Raw genomic sequence first — 25695 nt, 5'->3', positions numbered from 1 at the left:
CTATTAGGCCTGATACTTTCAGACTCTGAGCAATTTATTTTACTTTATCTCGTACATATTCAATGGTTGTTATATTTACCATCATGAAGAATGTTTTGGTTATGCTTTCCTGCCTGTTTATGCATGTAATTAACAATATAATGAATTCTGTGGTTCGGTTGCCAGACTTTGTTTCCAGAGGCTGAAATATACCACAGTGGTTCCAGAATCCATTCCAGGGTGGTTTTCCCTCCTTGTCCCCGCAACTCTGTGAGTATACAGCTGGGCAGACAAGCCTGACTCATAGTTCTTTTGAGGAAAGAGGCTCCAACAGGTTCTTTCCTGTCTAAGCTGCAGTCTCAGTGCAGGGGGTTTTGTTAGTGAAAACAAACTGCCTTTCCAGCCACAGGTGATTGGGGTCAGGACACAATGGGCCAAGCAGCCCTGTGTGGGCTGCGCATGAGAAGACCAGCCACGTCTCAGGAGGCCTGAGTGTGAGGGCCTGGGGCAAACTCTGCCCACTGAGGATTCTAAACCCGGTGGTGGCAGGTCAAACCATATTTCCCCACTTACAGGAGAAATGCACTGAGTGGGCCAGGCGCAGTGGCTCATGCCTGTAATCCCAGCACTTTGGGAGGCCGAGGCAGGTGGATCACCTGAGGTCAGGAGTTTAAGACCAGCCTGGCCCACATGATGAAACCCCGTCTCTACTAAAAATACAAAAATTAGCCAGGCGTGGTGGCGCACGCCTGTAATCCCAGCTACTCCGGAGGCTGAGGCAGGAGAATCACCTGAACCTGGAAGGCGGAGGTTGCAGGGAGCTGAGATCACGCTCACTGCAACAAGAGCGAAACTCCATCTCAAAAAAAACAAAATAATAATGATAAAAAAGAAATGCACTGAGTGAACAAAGATAAGGCAGCTCAGTGACCCGCAGCCTGGGGTCTGAGCAGTGCTGAGCACCTTTTCCGGTTCTCTGAGGGGCTGACTCAACCTGGCTGTTGAAGGGGTGACCTCCTGTGTGCACTCATGTCATGGAGTTCTTTGCCGCAACCTTGCCACAGCCACTGAAGGTACCACTGCTGTCTCCTGTTGGCCTGCTCAGAGGTTCTCTCTAGATTTCTGCTCTATTAAGTTCAAGCTCCAGCCCAGGGGAGAGCCGCCAGCCTCAGAGACACCACAGCCCCTTTCTTAATTATCTGTTTCTAAAATAGCAAACAGGCTGTGTGAGTGGAGAGAGACAGAATTATGTTTATTAAATTATAATTTATATACAGTAAATGATGTACATCTTTTTCAGGGTACAGGTCTAGAATTTTGACTAACACACAGTTGTATAATCACCACCATAATCAAGATATAGAACATTTCCATCACCCTAAAAATTCCCTTATGTCCCTTTGTCATTAACCCCTCCCTCTGTCTCCAGCCTCTGGCAACCACTGATCTATTTTCTGTCTCTGTGGTTTTGCCTTTTCCCAAGTGTTGTATTAATGACAAGGCCTTCATTAACATCCTTATTTAAACCAACATGTGCCCTGCCCAACTTTCTGCTGGCACATCTCACCCTCATACTTTGCCCGATTTTTTTTTCAGGACACCCACAATAACTGAAAATAAATTATTATTTACTTAATTACTCTCTCTCATTGGAATGTACGCTCTCACTAGAATGTGAGCGTGAGAACCTTGCGTGCTTGCTGCTAGATCTCCAGCGTTCAGGACGCTGCCTAGTGTCTTGTTAGTGTTGGGTAAATATTTTTTGAATGGACCACAAAATGAATGAGGATACTGGAATTTCCGGGGACCCTCTCCATACTCAGGTAGACCTTGTTAAAAAGAGATTATTTTTCCCCACAAAAATGTGTTAATCTAAGAATTGCTGTGTTGCCAAAGTAGATGATTATCTGCCAGTAACACAATTAGGGGTAATTAGGGGCCAAGAGCGGTGGCTCACGCCTGTAATCCCAGCATTTTGGGAGGCTGAGTGGATCACTTGCGCCTAGGAGCTTGAGACCAGCCTGGCCAACATGGCGAAACCCCTTCTCTAAAATACAAATACAAATACAAAATAAATACAAAATAAAAAATACAAAAATTAGCTGGGCCTGGTGATGTGTGCCTGTAGTCTCAGCTACTCAGGAAGCCGAGTTGGGAGGATTGCTTGAGCCCAGGAGGTTGAGGCTGCAGTGAGCCTTGCTTGTGCCACTGCACTCCAGCCTGGGCAAAAGAGCGAGACCCTGTCTCAAAAATAAAAAAAAGAAAAGAAAGATAAGTAGTTAGGCTGATCCAGGTTATGGATTGTCTTTTAAGTTTACTTTCTGGCTGATTAGGTTACCTAGAATAGAACTGGCCTGAAGTGACTAACATGGAAATAATGATAGTAACTATTTCATAAGGTGGTTACAACAATTAAATGTTACAAATTAGGTTCAGTGTTTACTGCTCAGATGATGGGTGCACCAAAATTTCACAAATCACCACTAAAGAACTTACTCATATAACCTGTTCCCCAAAAATCTATGGAAATAAAAAAAAATTTTTTAAATGATCTAATATAAGTGAAGCGTTTCATGCAGTGGTTCTCAGCTGGGAGCTGTTTTGTCACCCCAGGGACATCTGACAATATCTGGAAACATTTTTTTTCTTTTGTTTGTCAAAACTGGGGCGGGGAGGCCAGGTGTGGTGTTCATGCCTATAATCTCAGCGCTTTGGGAGGTTGAGGTGGGATGATTGCTTGAGGCCAGGGGTTTGAGACCAGCCTGGGTAATATAGTGAGGCCCCATCTCTACAAAAATTTAAAATTAGCCAAGCCCGGTGGCACATGCTTATCGTCCCAACTATTCAGGAGGCTGAGGTGGGAGGATTGCTTGGGCCTGGGAGTTCGAGGCTACAGTGAGCCGTGATCATGCCAGTGCACTCCAGCATAAGTGATAGAGACCCTGTCTTTTAATTTTGTTTTTTTTAATTAAAAAAATAAAAACTGGGGTGGAGAGGGCTGCTACTGGAACCAGCTGTTGAACATCCTACAATGTACAGGATATCCCGCACAACACAGAATGACCTGTCCCAAAATATCAATAGTGCCACCAGTGAGAAACCCTGGGTTAGTGCAGCATCAGGCACATAGTAAAAACTGTATTGGTGTTTGCTATGATTATTATTTTATAAGTGGCCCTTCTTGACAAATGTTCCCACACAGTCTGACAGTGGAGGTATAATGGAGTGTTGGGTTGAGAGTTAGGTTTGACACCTAGCTTCACCCTTTATTAACTATGTGACTTTTGAGCCCTTACTTGACTTCGCTATACCCCATATTCTTTGTCTATCCAATTGGAATAACAGCAACTCCCTGAGAGAGTTGCTGGGGAATTGGATAAAATAATTCATACAAAACATTCAACACTGCAGTAGCACATAGTAAATGTTCAGTAAATGCCATCGATTGTTGCTGCTGCTGTTGATCCAATAAAGACCTTTCCACAGAATATAGTGAAGGGATAGAGGACAGTTTCAACTAGGAAAAAAAATTACTCATATAAAGTATATAAAAGCGTATATTTCGTATATTAATAAATATGTAGAAGTTAAATTTAAACTATCCTTTTTAAGGCTGCTATTTATAATTTTCTAAAAAGTATATTGCTTTTGCTTTCCTAGGGTAGAGCACCTCCTTGATATAAAAGATCCTCTCAATTTTAAACATTTGTATCTAACACAGAATGCATAATTATTTAATTAAGACGTTTGGTCTTGATTAGAAATAGAAACACATTAAAGTATTTTTGAGAACCTGGATCTCAGATATGAAATATAAGACTTAGGAAAGTTAAACACTAGCGTAGTAGCAACAACCTCTTGTGTTTGAGATTCGTTAATCTCTTATTCCTTCATTGAAATAGGAAGGAGAAGCTTGCAGTGGGTAAGTAATTGCAGATTTGTAGCCATTTCTAGCAGTTCCTAGAATCCCCTTTATAATCTAATATTTGTGTTTTTAAAAAATAATCTAATATTTGTAAAAGTGCTTTGGAAATTGTAAAACAAAACTATGGAGATGTGGGCCATTAGTATTATCATCAACCCTAACAGGATGTTAGAGAGTCAGATGTTGCCACTTCAAGGGAGATGACCGAGTTTTGGTGCATTTCAGGAAGCCAAAATCAGGCTGCAAGTAAACTTTGTATTTAAGAATAAATGAGACCGGGCTTGGTGGCTCACGCCTGTAACTGCAGCACTTTGGGAGGCTGAGGTGGGCAGATCACGAGGTCAATAGATCGAGACCATCCTGGCTAACATGGTGAAACCCCGTCTCTACTAAAAATACAAAACATTAGCTGGGCGTGGTGGTGCATGCCTGTAGTCTCAGCTACTCAGGAGGCTGAGGCAGGAGGATCACTTGGATCTGGGAGGCAGAGGTTGCAGTGAGCCAAGATTGCACCACTGCACTCCAGCCTGGAGACAGATTGAGACTCCGTTTCAAAAAACAAAAAACAAAAACAAAAGAATAAATGATTAAATTGATAAACTATACATTATTTCGTGTAATATTAGAAATACAATGAAGAACTGTGTTTCTCTGCATAAAACTTTTAGGTACGTGTTTTATACTCTGTTACAAAATAGTTGGGTGGAAAAACTCCCACCATATACAAAATGAAAAGGCAAATGACAACCTGGGAAAAATGTTTGCAAAACATATGCAAAGATTTCATATTCCCAATAGAGAAAAAAGTCTTATAGATCAACAGGAAGGATATAAATGCTGCAATAAAAGACATGAACATGCAATTAACAAAAGAAATTCAAATTGCCAGCAAATATTAAAAATCTTTAGAATTACTGTCAACCAAACAAATGCAAATTAAACAATACTTTTTTTTCCTTTTAAATTGGCAATGGTTAAAATGTTTCTATCTTCTAGATGTACTATTTTCTGAACACCAGAATTCAGCACAGCACCTGGCACCAAACAGGATCGACAATCATTTAATAAGTAAATGAATGAGTCATGTGCATGCAACCTAGACATGACTGACATTCACCCTTTTATTTCTTTCTCTCTTGAGAAGGGATCTCACTCTGTCACCCAGGCTGGAGTGCAGTGGCCTGTCATGGCTCACTGCAGTCTCAAATTTCTGGGTTCAAGTGATCCTCAGCTTCCTGAGTAGCTGGGACTACAGGAGTGCACCACCACACCTAGCTATATTAAAATTATTTTTGTAGAGAGGAGGGCTTGCTCTATTGACCAGTCTGGACTCAAACTCCTGAACTCAAGTGATCCTTCTGCCTTGGCCTCCCAAAGTGCTGGGATTACAGATGTGAGCCACTTCGCCCAGCCCACCGTTTTATTTTTGTGAGTATACTGTGGGTTTATATTTATAAATTGGGTGGGGAGAAGATCCCCTTGCTTCTTGAGATCATTTATTTACCTTTCTTGCTTAGAAAGACAAATAAATGGTCTGAAAGTGCTTATTTGGGGGGTAGTTTTTTTTTTTAATGGGAAGTGACTCAAAAGTGAAGTCTCAGTTCAAGACCTTTTTTTTTTTTTAAGTCTTACTCAAAAGGAAGTGAGTATGAGGTGAACTGCATTAACCTAAAGTGCTGCAGAGATAAACTTAAAGCAGGAAGCAACATACCATGAATGTACTGCAAGGGAACACATTTGTGTCATGTGAAGAGACATGACAAAAACAGCCCTCCTTAAATTATTTGTGGCAATAGTGATCACATTCATTTTAATTTTGCCGGAATATTTCAAGACACCGAAAGGTGAGTATATAATTGTAATCTAGCTTTCCTTTCTTAATTTAAAAAAATTAGTGTCAGCTAGTGGTTACAGAAAAGATCCTCTTTTTGGACACATGCTGCATAGGCTGAAGTTCTAGATCTGAAAAACTAATAAAACAAGATTGCAATTTTAGTTGACTGTTATATAGTACAGTAACCTAATTCATAGTACTTAATTATCATAGCATACCTAAAAATGAAAATATTTAAAATCTGTAGTCTAGATTTCAGACATTGAGATTACAATAATTGCATCATGATTTTGCTCTTTGAAACACTTTCTTCAAAGCAGTTTTTTTTTATTTTTTTATTTTTTATTTTTTTTTTTTGAGATGGAGTCTCTGTCGCTCAGGCTGGAGTGCAATGGCCTAATCTTGGCTCACTGCAACCTCTGCCTGCCGGATTCAAGCAATTCTCCTGCCTCAGCCTCCGAGTAGCTGGGATTACAGGCGCCCACCACCATGCCTGGCTAATTTTTGTATTTTTAGTAGAGACACGGTTTCACCATGTTGGCCAAACTGGTCTTGAACTCCTGACCTTGTGATCCACCCACCTCGGCCTCCCAAAATGCTGAGATTACAGGCTTGTGCCACTGTGCCTGGCCCAAAGCAGCTTTAAGTATGCTTTTTACATTTTGGAATTCTTTAATGAAGAAAGTGATATTTATTGTGTTAAAAATGCTAGAATTCCCTTTACTACAACTATTTCACACAGATAACTTACCGTCACCTTTTGACAAGAAAAAGCGTTTATATATTTTGAAAATACAATCAAAATAAGGTGAGTGGAAATTTAAACAGATGTATGTGTATGTATTTGTAACTGGAGAAAAATGGAACAAAATTAACTTTGTGAACGTTTCAGAAAATTGTGATATAATTGCTGAAACCTAGATTAGGAAAATAAATAGGTATAAATTTAAACTATTTTGATGTTAGCAAAGGACTTGAAAATTTATTAATGTGAGGTTCAAATGGTAATTGTGCTCCCTAGCATTTAATAAGAAGAAAAGGTGAAAAGAAAAGGCTGTATTCTATCATTAAATAGTCTTTATATGAATTTGATTAAAATCAGAGAAAAACTCATATTTGATTATTTGCTGCAATGAATATTTATTGTTGCATATATGTAATGCTAAATAGCCAGATAAAAATATTTTTGCTAATTATATTTGATGACATATTTCAGTGATTATTTGATGTTGCATTTACATGATGCTAAGTAGCGAGTTAAAAATATTTTTGCTAAATAAACACTATGACTACAATTTGGTTTTCTGGCATTATGTTACTTAGATGAAGCAATCATAGCACATATTTTCAGTGCTTGATTCCACTGGGTGAAAATGTGTTATAAAGAGAATAGTTAGAATAAAGATAATCTATTTTTAAGATATTGTGGGCTGAGAGTAAGCTCATTTAATAGTTATCCGGAGTAGGTTCTATCTATATATCTATCTAGCTAGCTAGCTAGCTATCGATCTACACCTAGCACCTCTTAAAAATCAGGTTGGATCTAATAAAAACCAGGTAATCATCCCAAAAATGACTTAATTAACTATTGGTTAGTATTTTATGAGAACTGGTGACTACAGGAGCATGTTAAAGGTTTTCATTTTGGGGCAGACATGTAGTTCTTTTAGTTTTTGTTTCTCAAAGTGAGAAGCATGGCCTTCTGGGGCAGTGGTGAGCAGAAAGAAGATAGATGAAGCACAGAGAAATTCTTAGTGGGGGACAGATGGGAGCCCCTTCTATTGGTAGGTAGAAGAAAGAGCTCTTATAAAATCCATCTTAGCCAAACTTCCTTGGCCTAATAGTAATGTGTCAGTTCTTCTTCATCTTGTCAATAGTCAACCATCATTTATAATGATGTTTGTTCTCTTGCTTTCAAAACTGGTTATATCAGCTCCCAATACTACCTTTACTGCCTTCCCAAACTTAAAATGGCTGTTTCTCTTCTCCTGGTCCAAGAACAGCATAGATAATGCTCCAAACTCTTTCTGGGTTGATGGGTTGTTTTTTTTTTTTTAAGAGACAGGGTCTTGCTGTGTTGCCTAGGCTGACTCCTGGGCTCAAGCAATCCTCCTGCCTCAGTCCCCAAGCAGCTGGGACTACAGGCACATACCACCACACTCAGGTGGATTTATTGGGGAATTTTGTTTCAAAGGAACCCTACTTGGGGCCAACAAACAAAAATGTTCAAAAACCACTGTCTTCTTTTACATTATTTAGTGGTAGAAGGAATTTTGCACAGAGCTGCCATAAACAAAAAGTTGATTACTAGGCAAAATGTTATACACATGCAATTGTGTAATAATAATAAAATAATAATAATAAAAACCATTATTTTTTTCTAATGGTTTATGGATCACCAGTAACATCTTTTTATAGCCTCATTTAATATAGTCCCATATTGATTAAATGAAGAAAACTTGGACATAATTGTCTTGGTTTTTAAAAATTAGTTCTTTTTTTTTTTTTTTTTTTTTTTTTTTGAGACGGAGTCTCGCTCTGTCGCCCAGGCTGGAGTGCAGTGGCGCGATCTCGGCTCACTGCAAGCTCCGCCTCCCGGGTTCACGCCATTCTCCTGCCTCAGCCTCCCGAGTAGCTGGGACTACAGGCGCCCGCTACCACGCCCGGCTAATTTTTTGTATTTTTAGTAGAGACGGGGTTTCACCGTGTTAGCCAGGATGGTCTCGATCTCCTGACCTCGTGATCCGCCCGCCTCGGCCTCCCAAAAAAATTAGTTCTTAATCACAATAATAGTTGACCTATGAAATGAGTTAAATTGACAACTAATGCTAAATAAAATAGCTAGTAAAATTATTTGATGGTAAGCTAAGAGTGCTCTAGAAGTGCTGCAATTAACCTTGTGAAATTCCCCTGCCTAGTCTTACTCCATTCGTTTCTTGTCCTTTTTTTTCATTTTTTCTCATGTTCTATTCACTTTAATTTCTAAGATAAATATTATAAAATAATTTTTACTTATAAATTATTCACTGATACCCTGTCTTTAACATGTGAAATGAATTCAAAAGGAATCTTAATGAGAAATAATATACTCATGATGTTTAATAGATTTGATTTCGAAATAATAAGCCCTCTGAAGTCCTAAGTTAAAAATAAAGCAACTTGTTTGATAATTTTTCATCAAGAATGTATCTGAGTCTCTGAGTAATTATTAGTAGGAATATTCCATTATCACAATTACACAGTATAAGCTATTTAGTCTAACTTTACCAAAAAAGGGAGCTACTTCAACACTGTGTGAGACTTTTAATGGGTTTGCATTGGGTATGCACTATTAGCAAGATAACCTATTTTACAGCAGTGTTTTTTAACCTTTCCATTTATTTGAAAGGCAGCTAAGATATAGTAGTTAATATAATGGTTTGATGCATTTATATTACATGTAGATAATGGAGATACAAAAGGGAGTGGTGGATATATTTTGATTCAGAGCTTCTTGCAATTAAGGGAGCTAGCTTACTCCCAAATAAGAAACTTTCCAACCTGTTTTTGTTGGACTTACAGTGTTTAAGACAGAACTTGGCTAACCCTCATGTAAATCCCAGTGATCTTTTATTTATTTATTCTTTCACCTGTGCTAGAAACCTGGGGCTACAAAAAGGAAAGACAACTCTTTGATCAAGGAGTTTTCAGTCGGGAGGACAACTGACTGGCAAACAACTAAATAAAATACAGGAATTAACTGAAACAGGGATGTAAACAAGATGCAATGGAAACATAAGTATTGCTTCCACGTCAGTCTTTGGGAGGACGTTCCTTGTATTTCCATTTGCAAAGAGAAATAAATAATTGTCAGAGTTCAAATGATCACCTAGTATTCCTTCTTACCTGCTTGCAAAAGCACTTTTCAAGAGAAGAAATGATGACGATTATTAAATAAAATATTCTCATATCAGTATATCAATAGTTCCTGAAAGTGGCAATTGCAGTGAGTCACACAAGTGTACTCCCAGTGATTTGTGGCAATACAGGATAAGAATAGCACAGATGAGGCTGGGTGCAGTGGCTCACGCCTGTAATCCCAGAACTTTGGGAGGCCGAGGCGGGTGGATCACCTGAGGTCAGGAGTTTGAGACCAGCCTGACCAACATGGTGAAACCCCGTCTCTATTAAAAATACAAAAAACTAGCTGGGGCCAGGCGCGGTGTAATCCCAGTACTTTGGGAGGCCAAGCTGGGTGGGTCAATTGAGGTCAGGAGTTTAAGACCGGCCTGGCCAAAATGGTGAAACCCTGTCTCTACTAAAAAATTAAAAATTAGCCGGGCATGGCAGTGCACACCTGTCATCCTAGCTACTCTGGAGGCTGAGACAGGAGAATCACTTGAATCCAGGAGGCGGAGGTTGCAGTGAGCCGAGATTACACCACTGCACTCCAGCCTTGTGGACAAAGCGAGACTTCTTCTCAAAAAAAAAAAAAAAAGAAAAAGAAAAAAGACAGAAAGAAAAAGGAAAATTAGCTGGGCATGGTGGTGGCATGTGCCTGTAATCCCAGCTACTCTGGAGGCTGAGGCAGGAGAATCGCTTGAGCCTGGGAGGCAGAGGTTGCAGTGAGCTGAGATCACCCCATTGCACTTCAGCCTGAGTGACAGAGCAAGACTCCGTCTCAAAAAAAAAAAAAAAAAAAAAAGGAATAGTATAGATGAAAACACCTCAGACCTAATTTTATCTGTTTTGACTTCCTCACTTTCTTTTAAGAGCCAAACTGACATAAACTCTGTTTACCAGCTTTCATTTCCCCTTCTCTTTCACGCTTTGTGAAGGAAATGGTGGTATAATGAACAGTGAAATTGAAGAAAACAAAGGATAAAGCAACTATAGGATAAACTGACATAATATGAGCATATGTTCACAGTGTTTAAGTCTATATTATAATGACCACCACATCAAGGGTAATTGCAATTAATTTCCTGAAAGTGTTATTCTAGTTCTCAAAAATGAATGCTCTTTTTCTTATTCATAAATATTTAATCAGTAATCCCCAATAAGGCCTTATGACTATTTAAACAATTTTTTTATTTTAACAAATACATTTACATGTGCCAGTAATATGCCAAGTACTTTGACATATATTTTACAAAATAATAATTCACAGTAATGTGTCAAATATTTCTACTCATTCATGGCGCAGCATCATTCTCAAGAGAGAATGTTCTGAAAATCTTTAGAAAGAAGGAATAAAACTAGATGGATAAATGTACTTTGTGGTAAGATTTTGCTTCTTTTTAAAAATTTTTATTTATTTATTTATTTTTGAGACAACAGCTTACTTTGTCACCCAGGCTGGAGTGCAGTGGCGTGATCTCGGCTCACTGCAACCTCCAACCCCAGGGTTCAAGCCATTTTCCTGCCTCAGCCTCCCGAGTAGCTGGGACTACAGGCACGCACCACCATGTCCAGCTAATTTTTGTATTTTTAGTAGGGATGGGGCTTTGCTATGTTGGCCAGGCTGGTCTTGAACTCCTGATCTCAAGTGACCCACCCGCCTCAGCCTCCCAGAGTGTTGGGATTACAGGTGTGAGCCACCACACCCAGCCAGATTTTGTTTCTTATTGAATTTTCTGAATCATTACAATTTTAAAATGGCCACTAATGGACACAATATTTTCATATATATATTTTAGGCACTAGGTGTTGGCAAAAAAATGTGTTAAATATAACGCTTTTCATCACTTTGACAGAACTGGCTTTATTCTCTAATCTGTTAGGTTGCAATACCTACCAACAATCCTTGCTTAGGGTGCTTTCTAACTGCTTGTCTCATTGTTTTGGTGGATAAATGCTCCCTTAGTATATCTCTTTTTTTTTTAATTTTTTAAAAAAATTTTTTAAGAGAGACAGGGTCTTGCTTTATGGCCCAGGCTGGACTCCAATTCCTGGGTTCAAGTGATCCTCCCACCTCAGCCTCCTGAGTAGCATATCTTTTTTGCTTTAATAGAAAAAAAAGACTTTCTCTAAAACATTCATATGGTGATATATCTTCCCCTTACACTGTTCTGTTTCTTTTCTCCTATCACTTATATTTTATCACCTATATGATTTATTTATTATGCATTTTTTAAAATTATCTGATTTCTCCAAATAGAATGTAAGCTCCATGAAACCGAGGTTTTGTCTGCTTTGTTCACTGATGTGTTTCAAGCAATTAAGAGAGTGTCTGTCATATTAAGGGCACTCAATGAATATCTGTTGAGGGAGCAAACTTGCTGAATCATACTGTTAAGGAAATCAAAAGAAAACCTTGAAGGAGGCATTTCTCATCTGACGTTCACAAACATCTTGTGATTTAGGCAGGCCAAGTGTTATCCTCATATTTTTGAAAGATTAAATTTCATCACAAACCTAGAGATTTTAAGTTGTGCTAGCGTGTGAAATTTATTTTGCAGAATATTTTACTTGAAAGGTATGTGTCTTTTTACCCTGAGTCATTTTCCTGCCATTTTCTTTATCTACAGGGAATTTCATAATATTCATTTGCTTCTCTTATTTTGACAAGTAAAATGAGCAGTCTCCTATGTCTCAAACCTGCCTTTCAAATATTGCTATGGTATGTCGAAAGTTATCCCAAACTTTGCTCCCTGCCTCCAGCAAACATTTCAAATGGTCTTTCCCAAATATCCTATGAATAAATCCGTAGTCCCTTGCTCCTGATCTGGCTGACACTACAGATATATCACCCATACACAATATGATATGTTTTTCCCTCTTTTCTGCTCAATATTACCAGAGAGCCTTCAATGATTGGCCTCCAAATTGAAATATAATCTAGTTTTTGCTATTGAAGTGGATAATCTTTTTGAGTTTATTCCAATCTTTTTTTTTTTTTTTTTTTTTTTGAGACAGTCTTGCTCTGTCACCCAGGCTGGAGTGCAGTGGTGCGATCTCAGCTCACTGCAGCCTCCGCCTCCCATGTTCAAGCGATTCTTCTGCCGCAGCCTGCCAAGTAGCTGGGATTACAGGCGCCCCCACCACGCCTGGCTAATTTTTGTATTTTTAGTAGAGACAGGGTTTTGCCATGTTATCCAGGCTGGTTTCAAACTCCCGAGTTTAGGCAATCTGCCCACCTCAGCCTCCCAAAGTGCTGGGATTACAGGCATGAGCCACCGCACCCGGCCTATTCCAACTGTTAAAGAAGGCAGACCTGTGACCAAAGGAAAACATCATATGTTAATGAATGTCTCTGTAAATTAGGCAGCTAAACCATAAGGTTTCTCCTATCCTGACAGCTAATATTTTTAAATTGCTGAATTATGCTATAGAATAACTAATAATGTGAAAGATTTTTAGAAATAATCGACTATGTTTTTAACAGGCATAATTTACATACGATAAAATGGAAAGATGTTTTTTAAAAAACTTTTATTTTAAGCTCAGGCCTACATGTGCAGGTTTGTTATATAGGTAAATGCATGTCACTGGGGTTTGTTGTACAGATGATTTCATCATCTAGGTATTGAGCCTAGTACCCATTAGTTATTTTTCCTGATCTTCTCTCTCCTTCCACCCTCTACCCTCTGGTAGGCCCCAGTGTCTGTTTTTCCCCTCTATGTGTTCTCATCATTTAGCTCCCACTTATAATTGAGAACATGTGATACTTGGTTTTCTGTTCCTGTGTTATTTTGCTAAGGATAATGGCCTCCAGCTCCATCTATGTTTCTGCAAAGGACATGATCTCTTTCTTTTTTATGGCTGCATAGTATTCCATGGTGTATATAATACCACATTTTCTTTATGGAAAGATCTTAAGTGTTCAGTTTCATGAATTTTGACATTCGTGTGCACCTGTGTAACTACTATCACATACCAGATACAGATTTACATCTCCCCAGTAAAGATTCCTCTGGCTCGGCTGGGCATGGTGGCTCATGCCTGTAATCCCAGCACTTTGGGAGGCCAAGGTAGGCAGATCACAGGATGTCAGGAATTAGAGACCAGCCTGCCAACATGGTGAAACCACATCTCTACTAAAAATACAAAAATTAGCTGGGTGTGGTGGCACGCGTCTATATCCCCAGCTACTCAGGAGGCTGAGGCAGGAAAATCACTTGAACCCAGGGGGCGGAGGTTGCAGTGAGCCAAGATGGCGCCACTTCATGGCAGCCTGGGCGGAACAGCGAGACTCCATCTCAAAAAACAAACAAATAAATAAACAAACAAAAGATTCCTCTGGCTCTTTCCTTTCAAATCTCCTCCAGCATCCCCAAGGCAACATCTGACCTGTGTCACCATAAATTGGTTTTGTCTCTTCTTTTATTTTGTGTAAATGGACTCATCACACAGTAAATATTTTTGGTCTGGCTTCTTTTTTTATTTTTATTTTTTATTTTTTAAACGGAGTCTCACTCTGTCACCCAGGCTGGAGTGCAGTGGTGCTATCTTGGCTCACTGCAACCTCTGCGTCCTGGGTTCAAGTGATTCTCCTGCCTCAGCCTCCTGCGTAGCTGGGACTACAGGTGCCCACCACCATGCCTGGATTTTTTTATTTTTATTTTTTGTATTTTTAGTAGAGATGGGTTTCACCAAGTTGGCCAGGCTAGTCTTGAACTCCTGACCTCAAGTGATTCGCCCACCTTGGCCTCCCACTGTGCTGGGATTACAGGCGTGAGCCACCATGCCTGGCCTGGTCTGGGTTCTTTACTTAGCATGTTTTTGAGATTCATCCATGCTACTGAGTGATTTAGTAGCTCCTATCTTTTTGTTGCAAAGTACTCCATCATATAAATACACAACATTTGTCCCTTTATCTATTGGGTTATTTCAAGTTTGGGCTATTATAAATATGCTGCTATGAACATTATTGTACAAATGTTTGTGTCAGTATATGTTTTTATTTCTATTCAATAATGCTCTAGTTGTGGAATACCTGGGTGTCTTAGTCAGCTTGGGCTGCTGTAACAAAGTGCTGTAGACGGAGTAACTTGTAAACAACAGCCTTCACAGTTCTGGAGTTTGGAAATCCAAGACCAGTATGCCAGCATGGTTGATTCTGATGAGGGTCCTCTTCTGGGTTGCAGAATGCTGACTTTTCTTTGTATTCTTACAGGATGGACTAGTTACCTCTCTGGTCTCTTCTTATAAGGACACTAATCCCATCCATTAGCTCTCCACTCTCATGACCTAATTACCTCCCACAGACCCCACCTTCAAATACCATCATATTGGAATTTTAGGGGTACACAAACGGTTAGTCCATTTCACTGGGTACGTTTAATTTTACAAGAAGCTGACAGATGTTTCTCTAAAGTGGTTGTACTAGCAATATTTCTAGTAGCAAAAAATTCTCATTTTCTCTAGTTTATATTTAATATACTGAATTAATAACACTTAGAATATGTATAGTCAAAGAAATAATCTACATTTCTTCCAAAGTTCCCTGACAACTAGTTAATGAGGTCTTGGGAAAATGTGAGTTGACCTAGAGTAGCCTCTGGTGTGCCTACTATCTGTCAAATAATGAAGATTTTAATTTACATTAAAATTTTATGGAAAGATATTCTACAAATAAGTTTTCACTTATTGGTAGAGGTCAACGGATAGTTGAGATTTCTTTTCTTGCAGTCATACTCTGAAAAATACTCCTGGGACAAAATATCTAAAAATGTGAAATAAAATGTATTTAAAACTTTAGAAATGTAGAGTTAAACTGATAAGACAATAAGACTCCTTGGAGGCAGAAAATGAGTAGGAATTATAAATACGTATGGCTAAGCAAGAGTGAACAAATTTGTGCCTCAGGAGCATTTGCAAATCTCTGGTGGCCTGGAATTTCAGTTTCACTGGGTCATACGTCAGGAGACAGAAGGCAAAGTGTAAGACTGAGATATGACTGAGATACTAAAAAGTGATATGCTCCATAAAACAGTAATCTAGCACAAATTATGTCTGGTTTTGAGGAAATTTGTCTGTCTTCACTTTGGCTATGGGTGGAGAAAGGAAAAAGAGTCCTTTGAGAGTTTATAAACACAGTTGGCCATAACTTGGATGTTGAGAATCATTACCTGTGACGTGTGAAAAGTCCAATCCAGGAATGTAGTTAAAGTCACTTTGGGTTAATGGTGCCATTAGACACTCACCAGAGGAAAACACCAATCCTCTCTGGAGGAAAACATCTTTACACCATTCCTCAAATAATTTCCCAAAGTAAAATTCCAAGGAACAATAGCTATTATCAAAAATGATAAAACACGTGAAGACTCAATGGACAAGAATCAACAGAAACAACAAACAGCAGAATCGGATCTTCAAAGAATTCCGATATTGGAATTATGAGATATAAAATAGAAAATATTTAGCTTGTTTCAGTACAGAAAATATTACATCAAAAAGTATGAGTAAGCACAGAAGAATGTAATCAGACTCATTTCACACCATGTACAAAAACCAATTCAAAATGGATTAAAGACTTGAAGACCTAAACTGTAAAACTACTAGAAGGAAACATAGGGAAAAATATCAATGACATTGTTCTAGGCAATTATTTTTTTGGTTATGACCCATAAAACAGGCAACAAAAGCAGACATATACAAATGAGATTGTATCAAACTAAAAATCTTCTGCATAGCAAAGGAAATGAGTGAAAAGAAACTTACGGAATGAGAGAAAATAGTTGCAAACCATATATATAAGGGTTTAATATCCAAAATATATAAGGAATTCAGACAATGCAACAGCAAGAAAATAACCTGATTTAAAAATGGGCAAAGGATAGTGAAGAGTTATTTCTTTTTTACTTTTTTCTTTTTTCATTTTTTTCTTTTCTTTTCTTTTTATTTATTTATTTTTTTTTGAGACAAGGTCTCACTATGTTGCCCAGGCTGGAATGTAGTATGGCTCACTGCATTCTTGACCTCCAGGGCTCAAGCGGTCCACCCACCTCAGCCCCCTGAATAGCTAAGACTGCAAGTGTGGGTCACCACACTGGCTAATTTTTAAATTTTTTTTGTAGAGACGGGGTCTCACTATGTTGCCCAGGCTGGTCCCAAACTCCTGGGCTCAAGCGATCCTCCTGTCTTGGCTTCCCAAAGTGCTAGGATTATTGGCATCAACCACTGCATCAGGCTGACATTTCTTGAAAGAAGACATACAAATGGCCAATACATATATGAAAAAATTCTCAACATCGCTAATCATCAGGGAAATACAAATTGAAATTTTATGAAAATACAGTGAAATATTATCTCACACCCAAGATGGCTATTATCAAAAAGACAAAATATAGCAAGTGCTGGTGAAGATGTGGAGAAAAGGGAACCCTTGTATACTGTTGTGGGAATGTAAAATAGTACAGCCATTATGACAGACAGCATAAAGGCTCCTCAAAAAATTCAAAATTAGGCTGGGTGCGGTGGCTCACACCTGAAATCCCAGCACTTTGGGAGGCTGAGGTGGGCAGATCATGAGGTCAAGAGATCGAGACCATCCTGGCCAACATGGTGAAGCCCCATCTCTACTAAAAATACAAAAATTAGCTGGACATGGTGGCATGTGCCTGTTGTCACAGCTACTCGGGAGGCTGAAGCAGGAGAATTGCTCGAACGGGAGGTGGAGGTTGCAGTGAGCCGAGATCATGCCACTTCACTCCAGCCTGGTGACAGAGTGAGACTCCATCTCAAAAAAAATAAAAAAAATTCAAAATAAGAACTACTAATAAGGCACAATGACATGCACCTGTAGTCCCAGTTACTTGGGAGGCTGAGTTGGGAGGATCGCTGGAAGCCAGGAGTTTGAGAGCAGCCTGGGCAACATAGTAGGATCCTGTCTCTTTAAAAAAAAGTAGAACTACCATATCGCCCAGCAATCCCACTCCTGGTTATATTTGAAGGAAAGGAAATCAGTGTGTCAAAGGATCTCTGAACTCCCATATCCACTGCAGCATTACTCACAATAGTCCGGATGTGGAATCACTCTGAACTCCCATATCCATTGCAGCATTACTCACAATAGTCCAGATATGGAATCAATGTAAGTGTCCATCAGTGAATGAATGGATAAAGAAAACGTGGTACATATACACAAGATAATACTATTCCACCTTAACAAAGAAGAAAATTCTGTCTTTTGCAACAGTATGAATGAATCTGGGGGATACTATGCTAAGTGAAATAAACCAGGCACAGAAAGAAAAATGCCACATGATCTCACTATATATGGAGTCGTAAAGAGTTGAACTCACAGTGGCAGAGAATAGAATAGAATGATGTTTACCGTGGACGACAGGGTGGGGTGAGGGGAATGGAGAGTTGTTGGTCAAAGGATACAAAATTTCATTTAGACAGATGAATAAGTTCTGGAGATCTATTGTATGGCATATTGACTATAGCTAATAATAATGGATTATATACTTGAAAATTGCTAAGAGAGTAAATGTTCTCGCCACACACAAACGAAAATGGTATGTGAGTGATGGATATGTTATTAGGTTTGATTTAATCACCTAACAATATATATATCTCAAAACATCACATTGTATACCATAAATATATATATAATTTTTGTTAGTTAAGTATACCTTAATAAAACTTGGGGAAAGGCACCTGAAAATATATGAAGTTTAAAGCAAAATGTAAGGTACTGTGATTGGGAAAATAGCAAAAATAGCAACAATTCGTACACACAAAGTTAATAGGGAGGACAAACAGAGTCGTTTATTCCCCCAGCCTAAAAATAATATAAAACAAATATGTGGGGAGATCCAATGCTCTGCCACATTTTGTGATTCTAAAAAACAATATGAGCAAGGAACAAAGACTATTAAAAGTTACCAGGCAGATTTGAAAAAGAACCAACTGGAAGTTCTAATTGTGAAAAATATAATAAATTAGAAATGCAAGGAATGAAATGAACAGATTAGATGCAACTAAATAATGAATTAGTGAACTGGAATAGAGATCTAAAGAAATTACCTAGAACATAGCACAGAAGTTAAGAGACATGGAAAGCAAAGGGAGCTATTTCTAATCAAAGCTGCAAAGGATAGAAGAAATAGAATAGGGTAAAGGCAATATTTGAAGAGACAATGGCTAAGAAATTTACAGAATCATTGAAAGACGTAAATCCTCAAATTCAGGAAACCCACAAATCCCAAGCAAAATAAGTGATGAGAAATTCTGCAGAGCATGAAAACTGAAGAGGTTTTTTTTTTTTTTTTGTTTTGTTTTTTTAAGATGGAGTCTCGCTCTGTCGCCCAGGCTGGAGTGCAGTGGCGTGATCTTGGCTCACTGCAACATTTGCCTCCCAAATTCAAGTGATTCTTCTGCCTCAGCCTCCTGAGTAGCTGGGATTATAGGAGCCCACCACCACACCCAGCTAATTTTTGTATTTTTAGTAGAGACGGGGTTTCACCATGTTGGCCAGGCTGGTCTCGAACTCTTGACCTAAGGTGATCTGCCCACCTTGGCCTCCCAAAGTGCTGGGATTACAGGTGTGAGCCATCGTGCCCGGCCAAGAGATCTTTAAATAACCAGGGATAAATGCAGATTGTCTTTAAAAAGTTTAAAGGAACAATAGTCTGATAGCTCATCTCTTGAAAACAACAATGAAAATCAGAAGGCAGTGAAAAATGCCTGCAAAGTGCTGAGGCAAAATTTTTGTTGACCTAGAATTGGTGAGATGTATATTTTCAGGTAAACAACACAGAGAGTTTACAATCATCAGACCCTCAGTGAAAGAACTTCTAAATAATTAGCTTTAGGAGAAGGAATGTAATCCCAGAAGGAAGGGCAGAGATGCAAGAAGAAATGGCAGGGAAAAAAACCTCAACAACAATTATAAACATGTGAGTAAATCTAAACAAATCCTGAAAATATTAGATGCATAAAATTTAAAAACTCAACTAATTTGTATGTCAGTGAAAAAACAAGATAGAACCAAAATGCTGTATAAAAGTAACCTTTAAGTCAGGAAGGAGATGATCCGAGTTAAAGTATCCTAAGACCCTTGTATTGTTTGAGAGAGGTTAACTGTTGATTGACTTTAGGCTTTAAGAATGCATGTTAAAAATTACTATGGTAACTACTAAAATAATAGAAATATAGTATCTAACCTCACATAACTAAAGGGAAAAATAATGGAATGAGAAAAAAAAATCACTGAATCAATTTAACAGCCAGAAAGGCAAGAAACAATAGAAAGCATGGTACAAATAGGAAGCATTAATAATATGATATAATTAAATCTAAATATACCAATGATCCCAGTAAATGTAAATGGGCAAATCTATCCAGGTAAAAAGACAAAAAATTATCAGACTAGATTAAAAAAGCAATTTCCGGAAATATGCCATTTAAAACAGACCTATCTAAAGCATTAAGATAAAAGTGAAAAGATGAGAAAAATATACGGAACAAATAGTAACTGAAGAAAGCACATGCCATGGTATTAATGTAAGATTTTAAGATTAACATCATTACTAGCAATAAAGAAGGTCAGGATATATGGATAGAAGTTTCAATTCACAAGAATATGCATCAATTCTAAATTTATATGCCCCAACAAAGATAGCTTTAAAAAGACAATTATAAATCCATTATTTAGTGGGAGATTTTAAACATACTTCCCAGTCATAAAATACAACCATGTGAAGAATAGGAATATAGACAATTCAAACAATTCAAATAGCTAGTTTTATCTAATGGATGTATTTAGAATATTGAACTCAACATCTGGAACACATATTCTTTTCAGGGAATAAAAATACATACTTGGGCTGGGTGCGGTGGCTCACACCTGTAATCCCAGCACTTTGGGAGGCTGAGACAGGTGGATCACGGGGTCAGGAAATCAAGACCATCCTGGCCAACACGATGAAACCCCGTCTCTACTAAAAAAAATACAAAAAAAATTAGCCAGGCGTGGTGGCGGGCACCTGTAGTCCCAGCTACTCGGGAGGCTGAGGCAGGAGAATGGTGTGAACCTGGGAGGCGGAGCTTGAAGTGAGCTGATATGGTGCCACTGAACTCCAGCCTGGGAGACAGAGCGAGACTCTGTCTCAAAAAAAAAAAAAAAAAAAAAGAAGAAATACATACTTGATATGGTTTGGCAGTGTCCCCACCCAAATCTCACCTTCAATTGTAATAATTCCCACTTGTCAAGGGTGGGACCAGGTGGAGGTAATTGAATCATAGGGTGGTTTCCCCCATACTGTGTCTTGTGATAGTGAATAAATATCATGAGATCTGATGGTTTTATAAATGGGAGTTCCCCTGCACAAGTTCGCTTGCCTGCCACCATGTAAGACATCTCTTTGCTCTTCCTTCATCTTCTGCCATGATTGTGAGGCCTCCCCAGCCATGTGGAACTTAAGTCCATTACACCTTTTTCCTTTATAATTTACCCAGTCTCGGGTATGTCTTTATTAGCAGCGTGAGAATAGACTAATACAATACCAGACTATAAAAACAAGCCTCAATACATTTCAAACAATCTTTAATATACTTCTCTGACTAAATGAAATTAAATTAGATTCTAGTAACAAAAAGAAAGCTAAAAATAGGTAATATATTTGGAAATTTAGAAAATTCACTTCTAAATAACCTATAGTTGAGAAGAAACTATAATGGAGAATAGAAAATACTGTAACTGAATGATTAAAAAATACTATCTGTTTAAACTTATGCAATATTACCAAAACATATAACTTTAAATGCTTATACCTAAAACATCAGAAAAAGAACAATAAGATAAACCCAGAAAGTAATGGCAGGAAATAATAAACACAGGAGCAAAAGTCAATGAACTTAAAAGAATAGATACAGAAAGGATCAATAAAATCACAAGTTGGTTCTTTCTTTCTTCTTCTTTTTTTTTTTTTTAGGCAGAGTCTTGCTGTGTTGCCCAGCCTGGAGTACAGTGATGTGATCTCAGCTCACTGCAACCTCTGCCTCCCGGGTTCAAGCAATTCTCCTGCCTCATCCTCCTGAGTAGCTGGGACTACAGACTCACACCACTATGCCCGGCTAATTTTTTGTATTTTAGTAGAGATGGGGTTTCACCATGTTGGCTAGGCTGATCTTAATCTCCTGACCTCGTGATCTGCCTGCCTTGGCCTCCCAAAGTGCTGGATTACAGGCGTGAGCCACCACACCCAGCCAAGCTGGTTATTTTAAAGGACTATTTGTATGGATAAACCACTGGAAAGATTCATATGTTAATGTATTAGTCCATTTTCATGCTGCTGACAAAGACATACATCATTTATAAACAAAAAAGAGGTTTAATGGACTCACAGTTCCACGTGGCTGGGGAGGCCTCATAATCATGGTGGAAGGCGGAAGGACTTTGTACTTGGTGGCAGGCAAAGAGGGAATGAGTGCCAAGCAAAAGGGGGTTTCCCCTTATAAAACCATCAGATCTCATGAGACTGTTCATGAGAACAGTATGGGAGAAACAGCCCCCGTGATTCAATTATCTCCCACTGGGTCCCTCCCACAACATGAGGGAGTTATGAGAGCTACAATTCAAGATGAGATTTGGGTGGGGACACAGCCAAACCGTATCAGTTAATTTCTTAGGGCTGCTGTAACAAATGATCATAAACTTAGTGGCTTAAAATGACACAAATGTATTGTCTCACAGTATAGGTTAGACATTCAACAGAGGTATCCCCGGGCTAAAATCAAGGTATCAGTAAGACTGTGTTCCTTTTGGAGGCTCTAGACTAGAATCCATTTTCTGGCTGTTTCCAGCTTCTGGAAGCTGTCTGAATTCCTTGGCTTGTGGCCTCCTTCCATCTTCAAAGCCAGCAATGGCCTGCTGAGTCTTTCTCATATTGTATCACTCTGACATTGACTCTTCTGCTACCCAATTCCACATTCATGATTACACTGGATCCACCCAGATAATCCAGGATAATTTCTTCATTTTAAGATCAGCTGATTAACAACCTGAATTCCATCTTCTGCCTTAATTCCACTTTGCCATGTTATGTAATATATTTACAGGTTCCAGGAATTAAGATAGGGACACTTATTCTGCCTGCCAAAACTGAATAATAAAAAAAATGAGAGAAGGTACAAGTAACTAATGTTAGAAATTAAAAAGGGATATAACTACAGACATAGCAAAATTAAAGATGTAATAAGAGGATATTGTGAATAATTTATGTCAATAAATTTGAAACACAAAGACACATATCTAGGAAACTTACTTAGGAAGCAATGGAAAGCTCAAGAGTTTTACAACAATTAAAGAAACTCAGTCCATGGTTTTTAATCTTCTCTGTTTCAGATGATTTTCACACTAGTTTCAGATGATTTTCCAGGCAATTCCTGCCAAACTTTCAAGAAACAGACCAAACAGATAAATGTAATTTTATGTAATTTTTTTCAAAGCATAAAAAAGAGGAGACATTTATTTATTTCTTTTTTAAAAAAAGATGAAAATTTTATTTACTGGGAAATTCTTGCTGATTTTTTTTTTTTTTTTTTGAGATGGAGTCTCACTTTGCTGCCCAGGCTGTAGTGCAATGGTACAATCTCCGCTCACTGCAACCTCAGCCTCCTGGGTTCAAGAGAGTCTCCTGCCTCAGCCTCCCGAGTAGCTGGATTACAGGTACACACCACCATGCCCAGCTAATTTTTGTATTTTTATTAGAGACAGGGTTTCACCATGTTGGCCAGGCTGGCCTCAAACTCCTGACCTCAAGTGATCTGCCCACCTCCGCCTCCCAAAGTGCTGGGATTACAGGTGTGAACTACCACACCTGGCTCTTGCTGATTTTTGCATAGGGATGTGACAAAAGCAACATCAGAATTTATTGTGATTCTATCTACAGAAACTGGAGAAGATGATTTCATTGGTTCATTAAACCCCTCAATGTCTTCTACCTGCCCTTCCTAACCTTTACATTCAAAATTATCTTCCTGCCTATATATCTGTTAGTCAATCATCTTTCTTCCATTAAGTTTATGAAATTCTTCATGACATGATATGGACTTTGACAGTGCTGTTTTTGATGTCGTAATACATGGCAGATTGACTCGTGATAATATCACTTATAGCTTATTCAGGGGTCAGTAAACTATGGTCTTTTACAGCCTCTTTTGTTTAAAATGGTTGGGAAATAAAGAATATTTTATGACATAAAAATTATATTAAACTTGAAGTTTAGTATCCATAAATAAAGTTTTATTGGAATGCAGCCATACTCATTTTTATATGCATTTTCTGTGGCTGTTTTCATCCTATAAGGTGAGAATTGTGTAGTTGCAACAGAGACCATATGACCCACAAAGGCTAAAACATTTACTAAATGACCCCTTATAGAAACTAAGTTGCAGACCATGGCCTATATATTTACATTACACTACAATTATAAAATATAAGTATTTGACAGTATTTAAACCTTTGGATGAATGATCTTACATAGTGAAATGTATAGGTATATCTACATTACAGATATATCCTCTTAATTTTTACCATTTTTCAGTTGACTGTTTTAGCTTTTTTAAATACACACTTTTGTCTGTAAATAATTATAACAATTGGCCGGGCGCGATGGCTCATGACTGTAATCCCGGCACTTTGGGAGGCCGAGGCGGGTGGATCATGAGGTCAGGAGATTGAGACCATCCTGGCCAACATGGTGAAACCCCCGTCTCTATTAAAATACAAAAAATTAGCTGGGCGTGGTGAGGTGTGCCTGTAGTCCCAGCTACTCGGGAGGCTGAGGCAGGGGAAATCGCTTGAATCCAGGAGGCAGAGTTGCAGTGAGCCGAAATCGTGCCACTGCACTCCAGCCTAGCGACAGAGCAAGACTCCGTCTTAATAAATAAATAAATAAATAAATAAATAAATAAATAAATAAATAAACCAATTATGTCATACTACTCTTTTTTTTTCTTTGTTTTCTTTTTCTTTCTTTCTTTTTTTTTTTTTGAGACAGGTTCTGGCTCTGTCGCCTAGGCTGGAGTGCCGAGTGCAGTGGTAAGATCTCTGCTCACTGCAGCCTCTGCCTCGCAGGCTCAAACCATCCTCCCACCTCAGTTTCCCGAGTAGCTGGGACTACAGGCATGTGCCACCATGCCCGGCTGATTTTTGTATTTTTTTTATAGAGACGAGGTCTCACTTTGTTACCCAGACTGGCCGCGAACTCCTGAGTTCAAGAGACCCACCCACAGTAGCCTCCCAGAGTGCTAGGATTACAGGCGTAAGCCACCATGTCCAGCCTCATACTACTCTTTTCCAACACTTCCAAGCATTGTTTCCTTCACTTCTTTCTTTTTTTCTTTCCTTTTTTTTTTTCTGAGACACAGTCTCAATCTGTTGCCCAGGCTGGAGTGCAGTGGCGTGATCTCGGCTCACTGCAACGTCTGCCTCCCTGGTTCAAGCAATTCTTCCTGACTCAGCCTCCCAAGTAGCTGGGATTACAGGCACCTGCCCCACGGCAGGCTAATTTTTGTATTTTTAGCAGAGATGGGGTTTCACCATGTCAGCCAGGCTGGTCTCAAACTCCTGACCTCAAGTGATCTGCCCGCCTCAGCCTCCCAAGTGCTGGGATTGCAGGCGTGAGCCACCATGCCCGGTCTATTTTTGTATTTTTACTAGAGACCAGGTTTCACCATGTTGGCCAGGCTGGTCTCGAACTCCTGACCTCAGGTGATCCGCCTGCCTCGACCTCCCAAAGTGCTGGGATTACAGGTGTGAGCCACCGCACCCGACCTTCTCCACCTATTTCTAATCAATGTTTTCTCCTAATTGCTTTGGCAGATTTTCCTGGCAAATATTTATAGGGAAAATTTCTTGCTTTTTCATAACTTTGACATAAATATTTATAGTGTTTATCACTAAAATATATTTACATCAGTATCCTTAGTGCTATTGATATTTTGGTCTGAGACAGATAGACTTTATAATGTAAGAATATTTCTCTTTTACAAAGAGAATATAGTAATTTGCAAATAAATG

At 38.7% G+C, this 25695-nt stretch overlaps 1 protein-coding gene across 15 annotated transcripts in view, besides 1 other annotated feature; it reads left to right on the top strand.

Annotated features, from left to right (window-relative positions):
* Positions 518–1047: an enhancer, noted in NCBI's record as "H3K27ac-H3K4me1 hESC enhancer chr4:39038547-39039076 (GRCh37/hg19 assembly coordinates)". NCBI's record gives its function as "activates a minimal SCP1, AML or CMV promoter by ChIP-STARR-seq in primed H9 embryonic stem cells {active_cell/tissue: H9 hESC(primed)}" and the evidence as "EXISTENCE:reporter gene assay evidence [ECO:0000049][PMID:30033119]".
* Positions 5565–25695, top strand: part of TMEM156 (transmembrane protein 156) — a 65666-nt gene continuing 45535 nt past the window's right edge. For 12 of the 15 annotated variants that reach the window (XM_047416190.1, XM_011513753.3, NM_001303228.2 and 9 more), the window contains exon 1: positions 5565–5748. In XM_047416190.1, coding sequence (XP_047272146.1) covers positions 5661–5748 — 88 coding nt within the window. In that variant the 5' untranslated portion in view covers positions 5565–5660. Of the gene's footprint in view, positions 5749–6480; positions 6547–9376; positions 9530–11873; positions 12340–25695 lie in introns of those variants that run through there. The other 3 variants (XM_017008629.2, XM_047416193.1, XM_011513754.3) reach the window with 3 other exon arrangements.

Source organism: Homo sapiens, chromosome 4, assembly GCF_000001405.40.
Source record: "Homo sapiens chromosome 4, GRCh38.p14 Primary Assembly".
Classification (NCBI taxonomy): Eukaryota; Metazoa; Chordata; class Mammalia; order Primates; family Hominidae; genus Homo; species Homo sapiens.
This window is presented reverse-complemented; position numbering and strand designations above follow the sequence as displayed.